This window comes from Homo sapiens, chromosome 13 (assembly GCF_000001405.40).
Source record: "Homo sapiens chromosome 13, GRCh38.p14 Primary Assembly".
In the NCBI taxonomy this organism is placed as follows: Eukaryota; Metazoa; Chordata; class Mammalia; order Primates; family Hominidae; genus Homo; species Homo sapiens.
In genome coordinates, this window is record NC_000013.11 from 28,141,503 (window position 1) to 28,163,517 (window position 22,015).

A 22,015-nucleotide genomic window follows, 5' to 3' on the forward strand; every position below is an offset into this window, starting at 1 on the left:
TGTTTACGAGGCTGGAGTGCAATCTAGTGATCTCGGCTCACCGCAACCTCTGCCTCCCGGGTTCAAGAGATTCTCCTGCCTCAGACTCCCTAGTAGCTGGGATTACAGGCAGGCACCACCACGCTCAGCTAATATTGTAGTTTTAGTAGACACGGGGTTTCTCCATGTTGGTCAGGCTGGTCTCAAACTCCTGATCTCAGGTGATCCGCCTGCCTCGGCCTCCTAGGGATTACTGGCGGGAGCCACCGCACCTGGCCGAGGATTTTCTAATTAACACACAATAGGTAGAAGGGCTGAGACTTGAAAGAGGACAGGATGTAAGCAGATGAAGATGGGAGGGGAAGGTAAGTACCCTTAAGGTGGAGGAAAAAATATTAGCAGTGGCTCAAAGGTGGGACATCTTAGGAAAATAACTGAGATATAGGGACTCGAGAGGACAGGCAGTTAATGCTGAAAAGGTATTTTAAAATTAATACTTTGTCACTTGTTAGTAAAAGTTGTCTGATTAAATAGTTGATTTATGTATTTAGATTCTGTGGTGTTTGCTTTAGCTTGTCTGGCTGAAGCCTAAGGCTCCTCTTTTCTGTGATAGGCTTCTTGGTATCTCTCAGTAATTCCTTATGGATGGAGATTTCTTCATAAGGAATCACAACCTAGGTATTACTGAGAGATACCAAGGAGTGGGAAATAATGTTGCTCAGGAATCAGGAAAAAAGGTTGTGTTGGTAATTGTATGGCTTTTTTGAGTTTTTACACTTATTGTTCATTTTTTAGACTGCTTTCTACCTTTTACTGTATTCTCATTCAGTGTGTTTTGAGACAGTATTGATCCGTTTATTTTATTTTGAAGAGATGATGTCTTGCTGTGTTGTCCAGGCTGGTTTCGAACTCCTGGGCTCTAGCAATCTCCTGCCTTGACTTCTCAAAGTACTGGGATTATAGGTGTGAGCTACCACATCTGGCCTTCATTGGTTAATTATGTGTGTGAGGCAGTTAAAATAGATGGCAATTTTTTTTTTTTTTTTTTTGAGACAGGGACCACAGGCACTGGCTACCAAGCACCTCTAATTATTTTGTATTTTTGGTAGAGATGAGGTTTCCCCATGTTGCCCAGGCCGGTCTCAAACTTCTGGGCTCAAAGCGATCTGCCTACCCTGTGAGCCACCATATATACCATAATTTAGTGTTTTTAATTTCTATGTTTGTGGGTTTTGATTGAATCATTTGACAACAAAAGAAACAAAAGATTTAATATAGAAGTACAAATTTCTGGTTTCCCTTTAAGGATGTCTCTTACCTGTGTTGGAATTAGAGCTGTTGATAGAGCATAATTCTCTCCATTTTGACTCATTCCCTAACTGGATGACTTTTATATCTAGGCATTTGAGGTTTTGACTCTAACTTTAGCACTTCACATTTGCAGAATTGTTTTTGTTTTGTTGGTGTTTCAGATAGTGTTAAAACCTTGGAGGTGGGTGCATGAGAAAACTTTATCTTTATTTTGCAGCCATTGGAAAACTGAAGCACAAAGGCTTTTTCTTAATACACTTAGTTGCAATGATGTTTCAACCTTATAAGGAAACTGCAATTTGATTTTTTGTTTTTGTTTTTGTTTTTGTTTTTTTTGAGGAGGGGGTTGGGAGTTCTTGCTGTGTTGTCTAGGTTGGACTCCAACTCCTGGGCTCAAGTGATCCTAGCACCTCAGCCTCCTGAGTAGCTGGGACTACAGGTATGCCGTACCATGTAGCTTACGTAACATTTCGTATTTCTGTTAGTCTTGGGATTTTTCTAAGGCTTAAGAGTGATTTGATTTGTATTCAACTGCATTATCGATTCTTGACATTTAATGATGTAATTCTAATATTTTCAACTGGCTAGATTTTCAAAATGGCTTTAATCTTCAAAGTGTACAATTTTTAACAGGTAAAATATGCCAATATTTGTATTTTATGTACATTATTTGAAACCCAGTAGTTTTAATTTACCAAAATACACTTTTCAATTCTCCTAATGTAGTTACTAGTGAATAAGACATGTTTCAGATAGAATCCTGGCTCTTTGACTAGCTTTGTGACTGAACGAATTTTTAACCTTTAAGCCTCAGTTTTTCTCATCTGGAAAATGGAGATGTTATGAAAATTGCATGGCATTGCCTGCACATATTGAGGTTTCAGTCTTAGTTATTGCTATTATTAAATATTAATAATCTATAGTTAACCTCTGTATTTCCTTCTTCAAATTTTTGAGGGCATACATTGAAGACTAGTAAAATAGCTACAGATTATTGAATTGTGATTGTCCAAATGGAGGAGAGCAGTGCCATGGATAACTTGAAGTTCAAATGTTAGCTTTGGAATATGTAATGTGTAGCGTGTGGCAAAGCTGTTTTTGTTTAAGCCAAGACTAGCCTTTTCATCCCACAAACCTATACTAAGTGACAGAGAAGTGAGTACTGGCGATTTGCTGTTAGGATAGCTGGCATAAGTTTAAACATTTTTATTGGAATAATATACTTAGTATATCATGAAGGCTTTATAATACTGTTCATTTCACTCATTTAATATCCTGCTTCCAAGGTGGTAAGCTCTGATTAAGGTGATAGGAACAACAACAGCAACAAAAAAACATAATTCAGCCCTAATGGAGTTTACATTCTAGTGGGGCTATAAATATCTATAAGGTAATACTTGGTTTCGATAAGTTTTTTTGTTTTTTTTTTTTTTTTTTTTTTTGATATGGAGTCTCGCTCTGTCTCCCAGGCTGGAGTGCAGTGGCGCAGTCTCGGCTCACTGCGAGCTCCGCCTCCTGGGTTCACGCCATTCCTGCCTCAGCCTCCTGAGTAGCTGGGACTACAGGCGCCCGCCACCACGCCCAGATAATTTTTTTGTATTTTTAGTAGAGACGGGGTTTCACCGTGTTAGCCAGGATGGTCTCAATCTCCTGACCTCATGATCCACCTGCCTCGGCCTCCCAAAGTGCTGGGATTACAGGCGTGAGCCACTGGGCCCGGCCGGTTTCGATAAGTTTTATGAGGAAAACTCGAGGGATAACGTAACTCCAGGTGAGATTGAGTTAACAAATAAAGCACTTTTTCCTGTAAAAGTGCATTTGATGAGATCGGGCGTGTTCAGAGTGGTATGATCATAGACTGAAAGTGCATTTGAAATGACCCTTTAAGAAGATAAATGATTATCAAAAGCAAACCAAAACATCATCTTTTTTTTTTTTTTTTTTTTTCCTCAGAGCCTCACTCTGTAGCCCAGGATGGAGTGCACTGGCGCCATCTTGGCTCACTGCAACCTCTGCTGCCCAGGTTCAAGCGGTTCTCCTGCCTCAGCTCCCAAGTAGCTGGGATTACAGGAGCCTGCCACCGCGACTGGCTAATTCTCGTATTTTTAGTAGAGATGGGGTTTCACCATCTTGGCCAGGCTGGTCTTGAACTCCTGACCTCGTGATCCACCTGCCTCAGCCTCCGAAAGCGCTGGGACTACAGGCGTGAGCCACCGCGCCTGGCCCAATATCATCCTTTTATATGCCATTTTGAGGAATTTTTCCCCCAATTTTAAATGAACTTTTTATTTTGAGATAATTATAGAATCACCCGAAATTGTAAGATACAATACGGATATCTCATGTACTCTTCTTTTATAAAGGATAGTAACATCTTTTGTAGCTGTAGTACAGTATCATGGCCAGTATTGATTGCTGTAGTCTACTTGTTTACATTTCCACGGTCTTATTTGCACTTGCGTGTGTGTGTGTATGTGTGTACATATTACAGATCGTGCCTAACTTAATGGTTTGGCTTTCAATTTTTTGACTTTTTTTTGACAATTTTTTGAGACAGAGTCTCACTCTATCACCCATGCTGGAGTGCAGTGGTGTGATCTCTGCTAACTGCAACCTCCGCCTCCTGGGTTCAAGCAATTCTCATGCCATAGACTCATGAGTAGCTGGACTTACAGGCACATGCCACCGTGCCTGGCTAATTTCTTTGCCTTTTTAGTAGAGACAGGGTTTCACCATGTTGGCCAGGCGGGTCTCAAACTCTTGACCTCAAGCAATCTGCTCACCTTGACCTCCCAAAGTGCTAGGATTATAGGCGTGACCCACTGTGCCTAGCCTAATTTGTTTTTAACTTTTAATTTTTTTTTAAGGAGACGAGCTGGCCTTGAACTTCTGGCCTCAAGCAATACTCCTGCCTTGGTCTCTGAAGTAGCTGGGGTGACAGGTGGAAGCCACCGTGCCAAGCTAATTTTTTTTTTTTTTTTTTTTTTGAGACAGTTTCCCTCTGTCACCCAGGCTGGAGTGCAGTGGCGCAATTTTGGCACACTGCAGCCTCCACCTCCCAGGTTCAAGTGATTCTCAATTCTCATGTCTCGGCCTCCTGAGTAGCTAGGATTACAGGCTTGCGCCACCACGCCCAGCTAATTTTTATATTTTTAGTAGAGATGAGGGTTTCACCATGTTGGCCAGGCTGGTCTCGAACCCCTAACTTCAAGGCTGCCTCAGCCTCCCAAAGTGCTGGGATTGCAGGTGTGAGTCACCATGCTTGGCCCTCAGTTTTTACATGATGAAAGGTACACTTTTTTGGTAAAAATTTACATTGGAATAGAAGTGTATAAAGTCAAAATAAATCAGTCTCCTCATCTTATTGTCCAGGGTTAATCATTATTAATAGTCTGTGTGTTTAGATCTTTTCTACACATTGTATGGTATAGACATATATCTAGTATATATATTAAAATATATGTATACCATATATACCTAAATATATATATTTTTTCCTCTTTCTCTGTCTCTCTCTCTCTCTCTCTCTCTCTCATATTAGCTTGGGTTGCCAAAAGAAAATATTATAGGCTGGGTAGTTAACTTCCCCCTGCCCCTCCTCCCCCCATAGATCCAGGAACTTGAGTGGCTAGGTGGTTTAAATAACAGAAAAGTATTTTCTCAGACTTTCAGAGGTTGGAAGTCCCAGATGAGGAGTTGGGTTCCTGGTGAGGGCTCTCTCCTGGCTATATTATCTAGGTATGTGAGCACCCAAACCTAGATGGTATAGCCTACTGCATGCTAGGTGATATGGTCTATAACCTGTTGCTTCTAGGCCACAAATTTGTACAGCCTGTTACTGTACTGAATACTTTAGGCAGTGGTATACAAAGGTAAGTATTTGTGTATTAAAACATTTAAACAGGCCAGGCGCAGTGGCTCACACCTGTAATCCTGATACTTTGGGAGGCCAAGGCAGGCGGATCATGAGGTCAAGAGATACAGACCATCCTGGCCAACATGGAGAAAGCCTGTCTCCTAAAAATACAAAAACTTAGCTGGGCGTGGTGGAGCACACCTGTAGTCCCAGTTACTAGGGAGGCTGAGGCAGGAGAATTGCTTGAACCCGGGAGGCAGAGGTTGCAGGGTTGCAGCGACCTGAGATCGTGCCACTGCATTCCAGCCTGGTGACAAAGCAAGACTCCGTCTCAAAAAAAAAAGGAAAAGAAAAAAATAGAAAAGGTACAGTAAAAATATAGTGTTACAGTTTTATGTGATCACCGTCATACATTTGGTTTGTTATCGACCAAAACATTGTTACCAACAAATCAATATATGTTTGTGTCTCATTTCAGTACTTAGTAATTAGTACTGGACCGAAATTTTAATTTTATTGCGGTTTCTTACAAAATAAAACTAGCCTTTGGCTAGTCATTCGGTCTGTGTGAAAATACATTTCTTTGCAGATGGTCCCCACATTTTGAATTTACAATTCATTTATCAGAATGTAGCCCCATCCATAAGTCTAAGGAATATCTAGATTTACGATGATTCGACTTCCAGTTTTTGACTTTAGGATGAGTTTATTCAGGCATTAAACGCATTTTTGACATAACAGTACTGACTTAAAATAGTTACATCCCAATAAAACCCTTGTTAAGTAGAAACTATTGTTAAGTTGAAAATGCGTTTAATTCACCTAACCCATCAAACATCATAGCTTAGCCTAGCCTACCTTAAATAGGCCCAGAATGCTTACATTAGCTACAGTTGGGCAAAATTACCTGACAGCACAGTATACTGTATCAGTTGTTTACCCTCCTAATTGAGTGGTTCACTGGGAGCTGTAGCCTGCTGCCATTGTGCAACTTTGTGACATAGTATGATACCACGAATCACTAACCTGGGAAAAGATTAAACCTCAAAATCTGAAATATGGTTTCTACTGAACTCATATCATTTTTCACATCATCATAAAGTCAAACCATCATAGTCAGTTGGGAATTGTCTAAGTAAGGGTATGCAGATCTCACTAATCCTGGCTGAGTCAGTTGGCATGTAGGTAATAGCCCTCTTCCCTGAAAAAAGCTTTGTCTTTTCTGATACCTCTTTTGGCATTCTCTCTCTTGCTTTTTCTGTAAAAAATAAAGATACTGTTCCTATTTTTCTAAAGCTAGTTTGATTTTTTTTTCTTTTCTTTTTGAGACAAAGTCTTGCTCTGTTTCCCATGCTGGAGTGCAGTGGTGTGATCACAGCTCTTTGCAGTCTCGACTTGCTGGGCTCAAGCGATTCTTCTGCCTCAGCCTCCCAAGTAGCTGAGACTACAGGCATAAGCCACCATGTCCAGCTCCTTTTTGAATTTTTTGTGGAGATGGGGTCTCCCTGTGTTTCCCAGGCTGTTCTCTAACTCCTGGGCTCAAGTGATCCTCCTGTCTTGGCCTCCGAGAATGTTGGAATTAAAGACCACCACACCCTGCCTAAAGCTAGTTTTAAATTATAGCGTGTGTGTTTGTATATATATATTTTTTAGAGATGGGGTCTTGCTCATTTGCCCAGGCTGGAGTACTGTGGTACAATCATAGCTCGCTGCAGCGTTGAACTCCTGGGCTCTAGCAAATCTCTCTCCTCAGTCCACTGAGTAGCTGGGACTACAGGCATGTACCACCATGCCTGGTTATATATTTTTAATATTTAAAAAAATGCCAGTGTCAGAAAAATAAGAACAATATCTTGTTTTTGGAATTAGAAATGTAATACATGCACAGGTTAAAAATTTAAATAGTGCAAAAGAGTACATAGTGAAAAATAGCCTCCTTCCCTCCCTAGTTACCTGATCCCTGTCTCCCAGAGACACTCTTTCTAGCTTATTTGGGGTAGCCACTGACAAATATTCTTTGCCTATACTATTATTCATATGTTTATATTTCTCTATGTCTAACACATTAACACACATATATACACATATGCATGAGTGCACACATGGAAGCCTAATGTACTCTGAATTTTCTTACCTAATGGCTTATCTTGTAGTTTGTTCCACATTCGCACATAGAAATCTACTTTATTCTTTCTCGTGGCTGTGTAAATATTCCATTATATGTTTATATTATTAGATTCTTTATAATGGATATTTTAGTGGTTTATAGTCTTGCTATTACAAATGTTGGCACAAAGTTATGTTTTAATGTACTATGTATATTTATTTACATATATATTTACACAATTATGTGATATATACTTAAGGAGCATATAGAGTCTTCAGTAATCTGGTTCACAGTTGATACATTAAAAAAAAACACTGTGTGGGGTGTGGCGACTCATACCTGTAATCCTAGTACTTTGGAAGGCCGAGACAGGAAGATTACTTGAGCTCAGAAGTTTGAGTCCAGCCTGGGCAATGTAGTGAGACTCTGTTTCTACTAAAAATAAAAAAAATTAGCTAGGCTTGGTGGTGCACCTGTAGTCCCAGCTACTCAGGAGGCTGATGTGAGAGGATTGCTTGAACCCAGGAGACCTAGGAGGTAGAGGATGCAGTGAGCCGTGATCATGCCACTGCCCTCCAGCAAGACCCTGTCTCCACAAAAAAGAAAAAAGAAACTCACTGTATTTATATACCATTGGTTGAAAATAAGATACTTGAAATATTCATTCATATCTGCCCCGGTAAAATTTTTCTCCCCAATGGCTCACATATCTAGAAATAGTTACATAAATCGCGTCTTTGGTAACTTAATAAGTTCATATTTGTAAGTAGCCTAGTAGTCGCTAGAAAGTTTCATTTGGGTATGTAATAAAATTATATTGTTATTGATTATTTACTAGTCGATCTACATTCATGTTTTGTTTGTTTTGCTTTGTTTTTAGAGGTCTTGCTCTGTCACCCAGGCTATAGTGCAGTGGCACACTTGTAGCTCACTGCATGCACCCTTGAACTCCTGGGCTCAAGTTACCCTCTTGCCTCAGCCTCCTTAGTAGTTAGGTCTACAGGGACAGGCAACCACACCTGACTAATTTTTTAAATTTTTTGTAGAGATAGGGTCTTGCTGTGTTGCCCAGGATGGTCTTGAACTCCTGGCCTCAAGTGAACCTCTCACCTTAGTTGGCCAAAGTGTTGTGCTGGGATTACAGGCATAAGCCACCATGCCAAGCCTACATTCTTTATATAGATATCTTACGCTGCTTTTAGAGATATCAAATACAGCAGTTATATAGTTGGAAAAAGCTGGAAAGGACTTTATATATCTTTATTTTAACTTTCTTATTTTGCTCCTCTAAGTTTACTCTGCTGTAATACTGATGTTCCTGAATTTGATGGTATACTTGATTGAGAGATGAGATCACGGTGAAGAAGGACAAAATGGAATGAGGGCTTTTAAATTCCATAAGTCAGTTTTTATGGTTCATAGATGCTGTGACAATATGTCAGCTATCTCTGAAGCCTCCTTGATACATGATGGGACAGGGAATCTTCTGCCTACTCCCAAAACTTTGGAAAATTAGTAAGGCAGCATTTAAAGAAAATTTTTAGCGAGGTCCTCAGATATGATATATATTATAAAAAGATTTAATGTGGGCCAGGCACTGTGGCTCATGCCTGTAATCCCAGCACTTTGGGAGGCCGAGGCGGGCAGATCATGAGGTCAGGAGATCGAGACCATCCTGGCTAACATGGTGAAACCCCGTCTCTACTAAAAATACAAAAAATTAGCCAGGCGTGGTGGCGGGCGCGGTGACGGGCACCTGTAGTACCAGCTACTCGGGAGGCTGAGGCAGGAGAATGGCATGAACCCGGGAGGCAGAACTTGCAGTGAGCCGAGATCACGCCACTGCCCTCCAGCCTAGGCGACAGAGCGAGACTCTGTCTCCAAAAAAAAAAAAAAAAAGATTTAATGTATATATAGGTAATATCTTTGAAAAACTTAGATTATGACAAGCATTCAGCTTAGTGTAATTTGGGCTAATAATAAATGGAGATTAATTCATTTAATTGGTTAATAAACATTTATTGAGTGTTTACTCTGTTAGGTACTGTTTTAGGTTCTTAGGATATCTTAGTGAACCAAATAGATTAAAGAAAAATCCCTTCTTTTGTGGACCTTACCTCTTAATGGGTAAAGCAGACAGTATTTATAAATATAACCCCAGTAATTGTATAGTATGTTAAAAGATGGCAAGTCCTACTAAAAACAAAAAGGTAATAGAGTAAGAGGCAATGGGAGTGTAGGAATAGGGTTGTTATAGAATGAAATAGGGATATCAAGGTAAACCTCACTGGGGTTGAAATTTGAGTGTAGACTGGAGAATGATAGCCAAGCCAGTCATCAGGAGAAAGAGTATCTCAGGCAGAGGGATAGAAGGCTAATAGGTTGGTGTGGAGTGAGGAACAGGGAAGAATTAGGATTTTTGCTTTTATTTTGTGTCAAAAGGAGTGATAGAATCTAAGGTTTTAAAAGAGTTCTGTGGGCCAGGTGTTGTGGCTCATGCCTGTAATCCCAGCACTTTGGGAGGCCGAGGTGGGCAGATCACCAGGTCAGGAGATCAAGACCATCCTGGCTAACACGGTGAAACCCCATCTCTACTAAAAATACAAAAAATTAGCCGGGCATGGTGGTGGGCACCTGTAGTCCCAGCTACTCGGCAGGCTGAGGCAGGAGAATCACATGAACCTGGGAGTCGGAGCTTGCAGTGAGCCAGGATTGTGCCACTGCACTCCAGCCTAGGTGACAGAGCCAGACTCTGTCTCAAAAAAAAAAAAGTTCTGTGGCAAGAGGGCAAGAGAGAATTTAGGAGATTATTTGCAGTAATCCAGCAAGAGATGATGAGATGATGGTGGTTTAGGCAGGTTACAGCATTGAAAATGGCAAGAACTAGTCAGATTTCAGACATGTTTTCCAGGTAGAGCCAATATAATTTCACTTGGAATGTAGGGCATTGGAGAGAGGAGTCAAGGGTTTGTTTCAAGAGTGTGGAAGGTTATGGATGGACTTGATGCCAGCTGAGATGAGGAAGGCTGCAGACAGAGCAAATATGGGAGAGCAGATCAGGAGTTTGGTTTTGAACATGTTACTTTGAGAGATATATTAGCCATTCAAGTGGAGATTTTGAGGAGTTAGGTAGATACAAGTCTGGAGTTCTTGAGAGAGATTAGGACTGGAGATGATAAACTTCAAGTCTTCAGTGTATACTTGGCATTTAAAATCATGGAACTGTATGAGTTCACCAAGGAATATGGCTTCTATAAGAACTTGGGAAACACAAATCTATTGATAAATCAGTAGGCTATTTTCTTTTTCTTAGGAGAAAGAAAGAATAGGTAAGTAACATTTGGGTTCTACATATGTGCCAGTCATGCCATATATATATTTGCATACACTATCCCATCACATTTAATAACTATTTCATGAGATAGATACTGTTTTCATTTGACAGGTTAAAACTAGCCCTTAAAAAAAAGGCTAGTTTTAATAAGCAAACAATTACAAATCCTCTCTCTATCCCCTGCTATATGACCTTAAGAAATTGAAGTCAGAGGCTGGGCCCTGTGGCTCATGCCTGTAATCCCACTACTTTGGGAAGGTGAGGGGGGTGGATCGCCTTAGGTCAGGAGTTTGAGACCAGCCTGGCCAACCTGGTGAAACCGTGTCTCTACTAAAAACACAAAAATTAGCTGGGCGTGATGGTGGGCGCCTGTAATCCCAGCTACTCAGGAGGCTGAGGCAAGAGAATCGCTTGAACCCAGGAGGCGGAGGTTGGAGTGAGCCGAGATGGCGCTATTGCACTCCAGCTTGGGCAACAAGAGTGAAACTCCATGAAAAAAAAACCAAAAAACAAAAAAAAATGTGTATCTTATTACAGTTGAGTCCTTTTGTGAGACGAACATTCAGTGTTTGCTAGATTATTCTAATTAGCTACCTTTGTATGGTTAGGTTAGCATGGAGCTGAAGATAAATGTCCCGTTTGAAAAAATGACAGCCCTTCAGAAAACTCTGGCAGTTTACAGAAGAAATACAAATGGCCAATAGGTATATAAAAGTTCCTAACAAGTGAATAAAAGCAAATTAAAACAGGCATTCACTTATTTATGTTTTACCTTTCAAGTTGATAAGAGCACAAAGATTGTTGATACCTAGTGTTTGTGTGGGTATGGGGGGGAAAAGACACTCTGGTATGACGCTTTTCGAGGTCAGTATTCATTAAAATTTAAGATGTCCACATCCTTTGGCACAATAGTTTATTGTTAGACTCATTCTATGGAAACACAGGATATATGTACAGAGTTATTCAACGCAGCTGATCTGACGTAGGGAAAAGTTGAAAATAGTGAAATTCCCGTTAGTAAGGGTGTTATCCATATAGCAGGATATCATACAGCAGTAAAAACAAGAGTTTTATATACAGACAAGATGCTTAAAATATATTACTAAATAGGAAGAAGAAGTTACAAAACTATGTATAATACGCTTTTTTTTTTTTTTTTTTTTTTGAGACCGAGTCTCGCTCTGTTGCCAGCCTGGAGTGCAATGGCGCGATCTCGGCTCACTGTAACCTCAGCATCCTGGGTTCAAGCGATTCTCCTGCCTCAGCCTCCCGAGTAGCTGGGATTATAGGCACCCACCACCATGCCTGGCTAATTTTTGTATTTTTTTTAGTAGAGATGGGATTTCACCATGTTGGCCAGGATGGTCTCAATCTCTTGACCTTGTTGTCCTCCTGCCTTGGCCTCCAGAAGTGCTGAAATTACAGGTGTGAGCCACCATCCCCAGTCGTAATACACTTTTAAAAGATATGTAAGAAGAAAAGATCTAGAGACAGCACTGAGTTGTTAATGTTAGTATTTCTGTGGTGGCATGATGGGAAACTTCGATTTCTGTATTTCTGAATATTTTTTCCTCAAGTCTCTTATAATCAGAAAAAGAATCAGTAAAGATAACTAACATACACACGTACAAAAGACGAACCCAAACCCAACCCTCCAGATGCTAGCTTACTACAAGATTTAGCAAAATAATTGGAAATGCATGTGGTTTGCTAGTTTCTCCAAAATTCAGCATTAGCCTTCTGAGCTCATCCATGGGTTTGGATGATCTTAAGCTGATACTTTATGTGACAAGTAAGCTGGTTTTAGAAATAAAATTTTCTCTCTGTTATTAAATTTCTAGCCGCATTACTAGAAAACAATAATGGAAAACTTTTTAGGCCATTTATTGCTTTATTGGCAGCTTTCGATTATGTAGAAAATAGTAATTATCTTGGCATAGATCTCAAACTAAAACTGCTTTATTGGAGGATATTTTTCGGTGAGTATTCAGATTGATGATACTAAATAGCTTCACCCAAGAACCCAATTTATTTAGTTGTTGATATTCAAGTTTGTAGTAAGTTCATCTTGGAATGTGTATGGTATTGCAGCACTCCCCAGAATCAGCTGTTTTTACCAGAGTCTTACTGCACTGCAGTTCTTTTCTGATTGAAGAGGCTAGGTAATAATGCATATCATAAACATGTTCAGGTCAAAATAGTGTACTGTATACACTCCAGTGAAACAGTGGGATCTCAGCTGGGTACCTGTCGTTAAGCCACTTGATTCATCTAAAATTTCTGTTTCGGGATTTTTTGGTTTTTTTTTTCTTACTATAGGCCTTGCTGTGGCTATCTTGGTGCATAGATATGACAACTTCCTTAAGAGCCAGTTTGCCAGATAGACCTTGCAGTTTGTATTTTTTATATATTTATTTATTTTGAGACAGAGTTTCACTCTTGTCGCCCAGGGTGGAGTACAATGGCACGATTTTGGCTCACTGCAACCTCTGCCTCTAGGGTTCAAGTGAGTCTCCCGCCTCAGCCTCCCAAGTAGCTGGGATTACAGGTGCCCTCCACTACGCCCAGCTAATTTTTTGTATTTTTAGTAGAGACAGGGTTTCGTCATGTTAGCCAGGCTGGTCTCGAACTCCTGACCTCAGGCAATCCACCCACTTTAGCCTCCCAAAGTGCTAGGATTACAGGTGTGAGCCACCACACTCGGCCTGACTTTGCAGGTTTTTTTTTTTTTTTCTTTTCTTTTTTTTTTGAGACGGAGTCTCGCTCTGTCATCCAGGCTGTAGTGCAGTGGCGCGATCTCGGCTCACTGCAAGCTCCACCTCCCGGGTTCACGCCATTCTCCTGCCTCAGCCTCCCGAGTAGCTGGGAGTACAGTCGCCCACCACCATGCCCGGCTAATTTTTTGTATTTTTTTTTTTTTAGTAGAGACGGGGTTTCACCGTGGTCTCGATCTCCTGACCTCGTGATCCACCCGCCTTGGCCTCCCAAAGTGCTGGGACTACAGGCGTGAGCCACCGCGCACGGCGACTTTGCGGTTTTTAAAACAATGTTAACTTTCCTCCCTGGAGGTCTGATACCTCTGCAGGTAACTCACTGTTTACTAAATGACGTAGTATATGTGTTCTCTAGGCACTGACTAGAGAATGTAATTTAATTATTAAACATATATTTAACATTTTTGTGCTAGGTATCATATAGATGTTGGGGAATACAAAGACATATCAGGCCGGACACAGTGGCCTGTAATCCCAGCACTTCGGGAGGCCGAGGCGGGTGAATCACTTGAGGTCAGGAGTTTGAGACCAGCCTGGCCAACATGGTGAAACCCGTCTCTACCAAAAATACAAAAATTTAGCCAGGTGTGGTTGCATGTGTCTGTATTCTCAGCCACTGGGAGGCTGAGGAAGGAGATTTGCATGACCCCGGGAGGTGGAGGCTGCAATGAGCTGAGATGGCACCAGTGCGCTCCAGCCTGGGCAACAGAGTGAGACTCCATCTCGAAAAAAAATAAAAATTAAAAAACAAAGATGTATCGGACATGGCCCTGGTCATTTGTGAGTGCATAGATTAATAAAGGAGTTTGACATTATAAATTATGACATAGTATGATATATATATATACACATCTCATATATACACACACATATACATAAAATGTATAACAAACTCTATTCAGGGATATTTTGAGAGGTGATATTTGAAATATTTTTCGAAAGATGTATGAGGCATACATACCTGGTAGAAAAGGGCATTCTAGGTAGATGAGAAAAGACACAGATTTTGAGAGGAAGCTCTATTCATAGTTTTGTAGTCATCTGATGTGGTTAGAGAATAGGCCAATTATGGAGAGTGGTACCAGATAATAAGCTGTGGCCACGTTGTGAAGGCCCTTCTAGGATATGCTAGTAAGTGATATGATAAGATCTGTGTTTTACCACCCCCAAAGCTGGCAGAAGACAAGAAATAACCAAAATCAGAGCTGAACTGAATAAAGTTGAGGTGCAAGAAACCATACAAAAGATCAGTGAAAAGAGAAGTTGGTTATTTAATATAATAAATAAGATTGCTAGACTGCTAACTAGACTAATACAGAAAAAAGAAGATCCAAATAAACACAGTCAGAAATGACAAAGGGGACATTACCACCTACCCCACAGAAATACAAAAAACCCTCAGAGACTATTATGAACACCTCTATGCATGTAGGGTAGAAAACCTACAATAAATGGATATATTCCTGGAAATATACCTCCTAAGATTGAACTAGAGAAAAATTGAAACCCTGAACAGAGCAATAATGAATTCTGAAATTGAATCAGTAATAAAAAACCTACCAACCAGAAAAAGCCCAGGACCAAATGGATTCAAAGCTGAATTCTACCAGACATATTAATATAAAGAGCTGGTACAATTGCTACTGAAACTATTCAAAAAAATGGAAGAGGAGGGGATTCCTCCTTATCTCATTCAATGACCAGCATCATCCTGATACCAAAACCTGGCAGAGACTCAACAAAAAACGAAAACTTCAGGCCAATATCCTTGATAAACATAGATGCAAAAATCTTCAACAAAATACTAGCAAACTGAATCCAGCAGCATAACAAAAAGCTAGTCCACCAGGCCAGGAGCAGTAGCTTAGGCCTGTAGTCTCAGCACTTTGGTAGCCAAGGCAGGTAGATGGCTTGAGGCCAGGAGTTCAAGACCAGCCTGTGTAACATGGTGAGTACCTATGTCTACCAAAAAATTTAAAAAATTAGCTGGGTGTGGTGGCACACACCTGTAGTTCCAGCTACTTGAGAAGCTGAGGTGGAAGGATGGCTTGGGCCTGGGAGGCAGAGGTTGCAGTGAGCTGAGATTGGGCCATGGTACTCCAACCTGGGCAACAGAGTGAGACCCTGTCAAAAAAAAAAAAAAAAAAAAAAAAAAAGCTAAATCACCATGAACAAGTAGGCTTTACCCCTGAGTTGCAAGACTGGTCGGGCATACACAAATCAATAAATGTTACCCGTCACATAAACAGAGCTAAAAACAACCATATTATCATCTCAATAGATGTAGAAAAGGTTTTCAGTAAAATTCAACATCCCTTCATGTTAAAAACCCTCAATAAACTAGGCATTGAAGGAACACACTTCAAAATAATGAGAGCCATGTATGACAAACCCACAGCAGCATCATAACTGAATGGGCAAAAGCTTGAGAACTGGAACAAGACAAGGATGCCTACTCTCAACACTGCTATTCGACATAGTACTAGAAGTCCTAGCCAGAGCAATCAGGCAAGAGAAAGAAATAAAAGGTATCCAAATAAGAAGAGAGGAAGTCAAACTATCTCTGTATATGATATGATTTTATACCTAGAAAACCTCGTCGTCTCTGCCCAGAAGCTCCTAAATCTGACAAACAACTTCAGCAAAGTTTCAGGATACAAAATTGATGTACAAAAATCCGTAGCATATCTATACACCAACAGCATCCAAGCTGAGTGCCAAATCAAGAATGCAATCCTATTCACAATAGCCGTGAAAAATAAAATACCTAGGAATACAGCTAACCAGGGAGGTGAAAGAGCTCTACAATGATAATTAGGAAACACTGCTAAAATAAATCAGAGATGACACAAATGCAAAAACATTCGATGCTCATGGATAGGAAGAATCAATATTGTTAAAATGGCCATACTGCCCAAAACAAAATAAATATTCAATGCTTTTCCTATCAACCTGCCAATGACACTCTTCACAGAATTAGAAAAGACTGTTCTGAAATTCATATGGAACCAAAAAAACAGCCTGAATAGCCAAAGCAATCCTACACAAAAAGAGCAAAGCATCACATTACCTGATTTCAAACTATACTTCAAGGCTGTAGTAATCAAAACAGCGTGGTACAGGTACAAAAACAGTGACATAGACCAATAGAACAGAATAGAGAGCCCAGAAATAAAGCCTCACACCTACAACCATCTGATCTTCCACGGAGTTGACAAAAACGAGCAATGGGGAAAGGAGTTCCTGTTCAGTAAATGGTGCTGAGATAACTGGCTAGCCATATTCAAAAGATTGAAACTGGACACCTTTGTTACACCATATACAAAAAATTAACTCATGGTGGATTAAAGACTTAAATGTAAAACCTAAAACTATAAAAACCCTTGAAAACCTAGGAAATACCATTCTGGACATACGCCCCAGCAAAGATTTCATGAGGAAGATGCCAAAAGCAATGGCGACAACAACAAAAAATTGACAAATGAGACCTAATTAAAGAGCTTCTGCACAGCAAAAGAAACTATCAATAGAGTAAGCAGACAACCCACAGAGTAGGACAAAATATTTGTAAATGGTGCATCTGACAAAGGTCTGATACCCAGAATCTATAAGGAACTTAAATTAACAAGCAAAAAACAACTCCATTAAAAACTGGGCAGAGGACATGAACAGACGCTTTTCAGAAGAAGACATATACTCAGCCAATGAGCATATGAAAAAATGCTCAACATTGGCTGGGCGTGGTGGCTCACGCCTGTAATCCCAGCACTTTGGGAGGCTGGAGGCAGGTGGATCACGAGGTCAGGAGATCAAGACCATCCTGGCTAACACAGTGAAACCCCGTCTCTACTAAATATACAAAAAATTAGTTGGGTGTGGTGGTGGGCGCCTGTAGTCCCAGCTACTCAGGAGGCTGAGGCAGGAGAATGGCGTGAACCCGGGAGGCGGAGCTCACAGTGAGTGGATATCGCGCCACTGCACTCCAGCCTGGGTGACAGAGCAAGACTCCATCTCAGAAAAAAAAAAAAAAGCTCAACGTCACTAATCATTAGAGAAATGCAAATCAAAACCACATTGAGATACCATCTCATACCAGTCAGAATGATTATTATTAAAAAATAACAGATGCAGGTGAGGTTGCAGAGAAAAGGGAACACTTCTACACTGCTAGTGGGGAAAGCAGTTTCATGATTTCTCAAAGAACTTAGAATTACCATTTGACCCAGCAATTTCATTTTTAGGTGTATACCCAAAGGCATATACGTTGTTCTGTCATAAAGACGCATGAATATGTTCATTGCAGCACTCTTCACAATAGCAAAGACATGGAAGTGACCTAGATGCCCATCAATGGTAGACCAGATAAAGAAAATTTGGGGCATGTACACCATGGACTACTACACAGCCATGAAAAAGAACAGGATAATGTCCTTTGCAGCAACATGGTTGGAGCTGGAGGTCATTATCCTAGATGAACTAACGCAGTAGCAGAAAACCAAATACCACATGTTCTCACTTATAAGTGGGAACTAAATATTGAGTATACATAGACATAAAGAAGGGAACAATAGACACCGGAGCCTTCTGTTTTTATTTTTTTTGAGATGGAGTTTCGCTCTTGTTTCCCAGGCTGGAGTGCAATGGCACAAATCTTGGCTCACTGCAACCTCCGCCTCCCTGGTTCAAACGATTCTCCTGCCTCAGTCCTCTTAGTAGCTGGGATTACAGGCATGCACCACCATGCCCGGCTAATTTTGTATTTTTAGTAGAGATGGGGTTTCACCATGTTGGTCAGGCTGGTCTTGAACTCCCGACCTCAGGTGATCCTCCCACCTTGGCCTCCCAAGGTGCTGGGATTATAGGTGTGAGTCACCACACCTGGCCAATACTGGAGACTTATTGAGCAGGGAGAGTAGGAGGAGGGTGAGGAAGGGAAAAGTACCCATTGGGTACCGTGCATATTATCTGGGTGACAAAATAATCTGTACACCAAACCCCTGCCATATGTAATTTACCCATGTAGCAAACCTGCATGTATACCCCTGAAACTGAAATAAAAGGTTTTTTTTTTTTAATATTTATTTTTTATTTTTGAGACAGAGTCTCGCTCTATCACCCAGCTAGAGTGCAGTAGTGTGATCTTGGCTCACTGCAACCTCTGCCTCCTGGGTTCACGTGATTCTCCTGCCTCACTCAGCCTCCCAAGTAGCTGGGGTTACAGGTGTACGCCACCACGCCTGGCCAATTTTTGTATTTTTGGTAGAGATGGGATTTCACTATGTTGGCCAGGCTGGTCTCAAACTCCTGACCTTGGGTGTTCCACCTGCGTCCCCCTCCCAAAGTGTTGGGATTACAGGCATGAGCCACTGTGCCCGGCTTTACTCTTTATTTTGAAAAGATAACTATAGTAGGCTTTTTTGACTTCTAAGGATGGAAATGGGGAAATCATTTGGAACAGTCTTTATGATAGTTAAAGGGAGTAACGCTAAGGACATGGTTTAGGGCAGTGGAAATGAATTAGAGGGGGCACATTTTAGAGAGATTTGGTGAAGCAGCTACTTGGGATGCATAAGGGAGAGAAGGGAGGCAAGGATAACTAAGTTTTTAGTTTTAAAGTACTTGTCACATGTCTTAGAGACTTTTAGTAATAGGCAGTTGGAAATGTGAGTTAGGAGATTAGGATTGAGTGAGATGAATATAGTGATTTTTGAAATGTTTGAAATAAGGCTTTAAATCTCAACTCTGACACTCACTAAAATGAGAAATAACCATATATATCTTAAAGAACTGTTGGGATTGTGCATATAAACCTGTCAATAAGTAACACTTGGTATTATTTTATCTAATTTATCAGAACTAGGGTTGAATGTTTCACAGTAAATGGATGAGAGTTTAAGAGGGAGAGATTGATCTATTTAGATTGCTGGAAAGTTAAGTACTTGAACTATATCGTTAGTTCTTTATGGAATTACCTCACTTTAGTTGTGGCATAATATTCTTTTCTGTACTTCTATTGAGAATAAATATAAAAAGTGTTTCAAGAAATCTTTCAGTTGTCTTGAAGATGTCATGGTGTTCAATGTTCTTTATGGAAAAATCCTTGTAATAATTTCTTCGAATAGTTTAGTACTAGGAAAAATGGTTTTTGCTCAAACAAATTGGTATTTGTTATTTTACTAAGCAAGCAATTTTTAAACTTCCATTTTCCCTTTTTTTATCTTGTCTGTTTCAAAATGTCTGAGCTTAATGTTTGACTGAAATATTTTTATTAACCTGTATTTTTAGTTTAATCTATATTTAATCTTTTATTATGTGGCTCTATTGTATGTTTTCGGGGGCGGGGAGCTTACACAACAGAAATTTATTGTCTCAGGTTTGGAGGCTGAAAGTCTAAGATCAAGGTGTTGGCTGGATTGCCTTCTTCTGAGGGCTGTGGAGGATAATCTGTTCCATGTCTTTCCCCTTAGCTTTTGGTTTGCTGACAATCTTGGACATTTCTTGGCTTGTAGAAACATCTTCCCAATCACTCCTGTCATCTTTACTTGATGTTTTCCCTTTGTGTGCATCTGTGTTCAAATTTCCCTTTTTTATAATGTCACCAGTCATACTGGATTAGGACTGCCCTAATGACCTCATCTTTAATTATATCTGCAGTGACTCTATATTCAAATGAGGTCACATTCCAAGGTACAGGGGATTAAGACTTCAGCATAGGAATGTGGTGGGGGTTGGGAGGGACAGTTGAACTTCTAACAGTTGTGTGGTTAAACAAATGAGATAATAACCTGAAATGCCTTATGGAGCTTCGGAGTTAGGTAGAGAATTGAGAATTTGAACTTGTTCTCTTCATGACTGTCTCCACAGAAGCTTTATCATAAGGGCAGGAAGCACAGTGTTTATAGTCATTAATTGCTGTTTTCTGACAGTTTGACTTTTTCCTTGGTTTGTGAACTTTCGAGGGAGTTCCAGCTCTTCAAACAGACAGTATGTCTTGTCCACCTGCTTTGGATTTGAGTCTTGTTTTACAGACAGCTTCTGTGGGTTTTATAACAGATGTGTAAAATATTCCAGCCTACCTTTTTATCATTTATTTTAAAATTAAAAAGAGAAAAACCTACATGGAAAGTTTTTCCTAACACACTCTATTACAAAGAGCATATTAGTGTTTCATCAGAAAAAGCAGGCTACTTTTTGCAAATAAATAAGTAGATTTGGCACCTAATATCAACTGGGCATGCCAGTATACTGAATTAACACAACAACCTTGGAAAGTAGATGCTACTGTTTTAGTGTTACAGAGGAAGAAACTGAGACTTAAGTATACTGTTGAAGGTTAGTAGTTGGCAACTGGCTGAAACAGACCTCATGGTCAGTATTTGTTAAAAGTCTATGCTCATTCCACAATCCGATAAAGAAAAGGATGGTGTGAGTATCTGCTGAGGGGGTAGAGGAGCCCCTGTTTCTTGGGCCTGCACTCACTGTACTGTCATCTGGCATCTCTGAGGTCTCAGTTTCCTCATTGGAAAAGTGGAGGCAATCAGCCGGGTGCCGTGGCTCATGCCTGTAATCCCAGCACTTTGGGAGGCCGAGGCGGGTGGATTGCATGAGCTCACGAGTTTGAGACCAGCCTGGGCAACATGGCGAAACCCCACCTCTACTAAAAATACAAAAAATTATATGGGCGTGGTGGCGCACACCTGTAGAACCCAGGAGGTGGAGGTTGCAGTGAGCTGAGATCACGCCACTGCACTCCAACCTGGGCAACAGAGTGAGACTCTGCCTTAAAAAAAAAAAAGCATTTAATTGAAAATAAAAGTTTGTACAAATGTGCTAGGCTGGGCTCAGTAACTCATGCCTGTAGTCCCAGTACTTTGAGGGGCCAAGGAGGGAGGATTGCTTGAATTCAGGAGTTTGAGGCTGCAGTGAGCTGATTATGCCACTGCACTCCAGCCTGGGTGACAGAGGGAGACTTTTTCTCAAAAATAACAACTTGCCACCAAGCTTAAAAAAAAAAAAACCTAACAAAAATGTGCTATTAGATTAAGGAGTACCAAAAAGTGAAAGGTGTGCATAATTACAGATACATACAGTGTAGTTACAGATAATTTAAGGCCGAATGCAGTGGCTTACACCTGTAAACTCAGCACTGTGGGAGGCCAATGCAGGAGGATCACTTGAGCCCAGGAAGTTTTTTTTTTGAGACAGCATCTTGCTCTGTCACCCAGGCTGTAGTGCAGTGGTATGATGACAGCTCACTGCAGCCTCAATTTCCTAAGCCCAGGAGTTCGAGACCAGCAACATAATGAGACCCTGTCTCTACAAAAAATAATAAAAAATAAATTCAAAACAAAACAAAGATAAGATAATTTACATTAGTAGATAGTACAGAAATACCTGAAAATGTAAAGGCTTAAATACTGTAGTTGAAGACAGCAATAAAAAGTCAAAAGGAAGTTTTTTTTTCTCAAATGAGTGATATAAATAGTATCTTAAGAGGTAAAGGTTTTAACAGCTTGGAATAATTGGGGAATACTTTCTAGAGAAGGGCAAATTAAAAAATAATGTTTATGATGACCTGTTAGAAAACATACTAGGCACTTTACATAGATTATTTCATTTGATTCCACACCACAACCCTATGAGTGAGATGGTAT

At 40.4% G+C, this 22,015-nt stretch overlaps 1 protein-coding gene across 11 annotated transcripts in view, besides 1 other annotated feature; it reads left to right on the plus strand.

Moving 5' to 3' along the window:
- PAN3 (poly(A) specific ribonuclease subunit PAN3) overlaps nucleotides 1–22,015 on the plus strand; it is a 157,143-nt gene that overhangs the window by 3,310 nt on the left and 131,818 nt on the right. The window lies entirely within an intron of this gene.
- Nucleotides 3,150–3,444: an enhancer, noted in NCBI's record as "tiled region #9463; HepG2 Activating non-DNase unmatched - State 19:H4K20, and K562 Activating non-DNase unmatched - State 7:EnhWF". NCBI's record gives its function as "activates a minimal TATA promoter and a strong SV40 promoter by Sharpr-MPRA in HepG2 and K562 cells {active_cell/tissue: HepG2 | K562}" and the evidence as "EXISTENCE:reporter gene assay evidence [ECO:0000049][PMID:27701403]".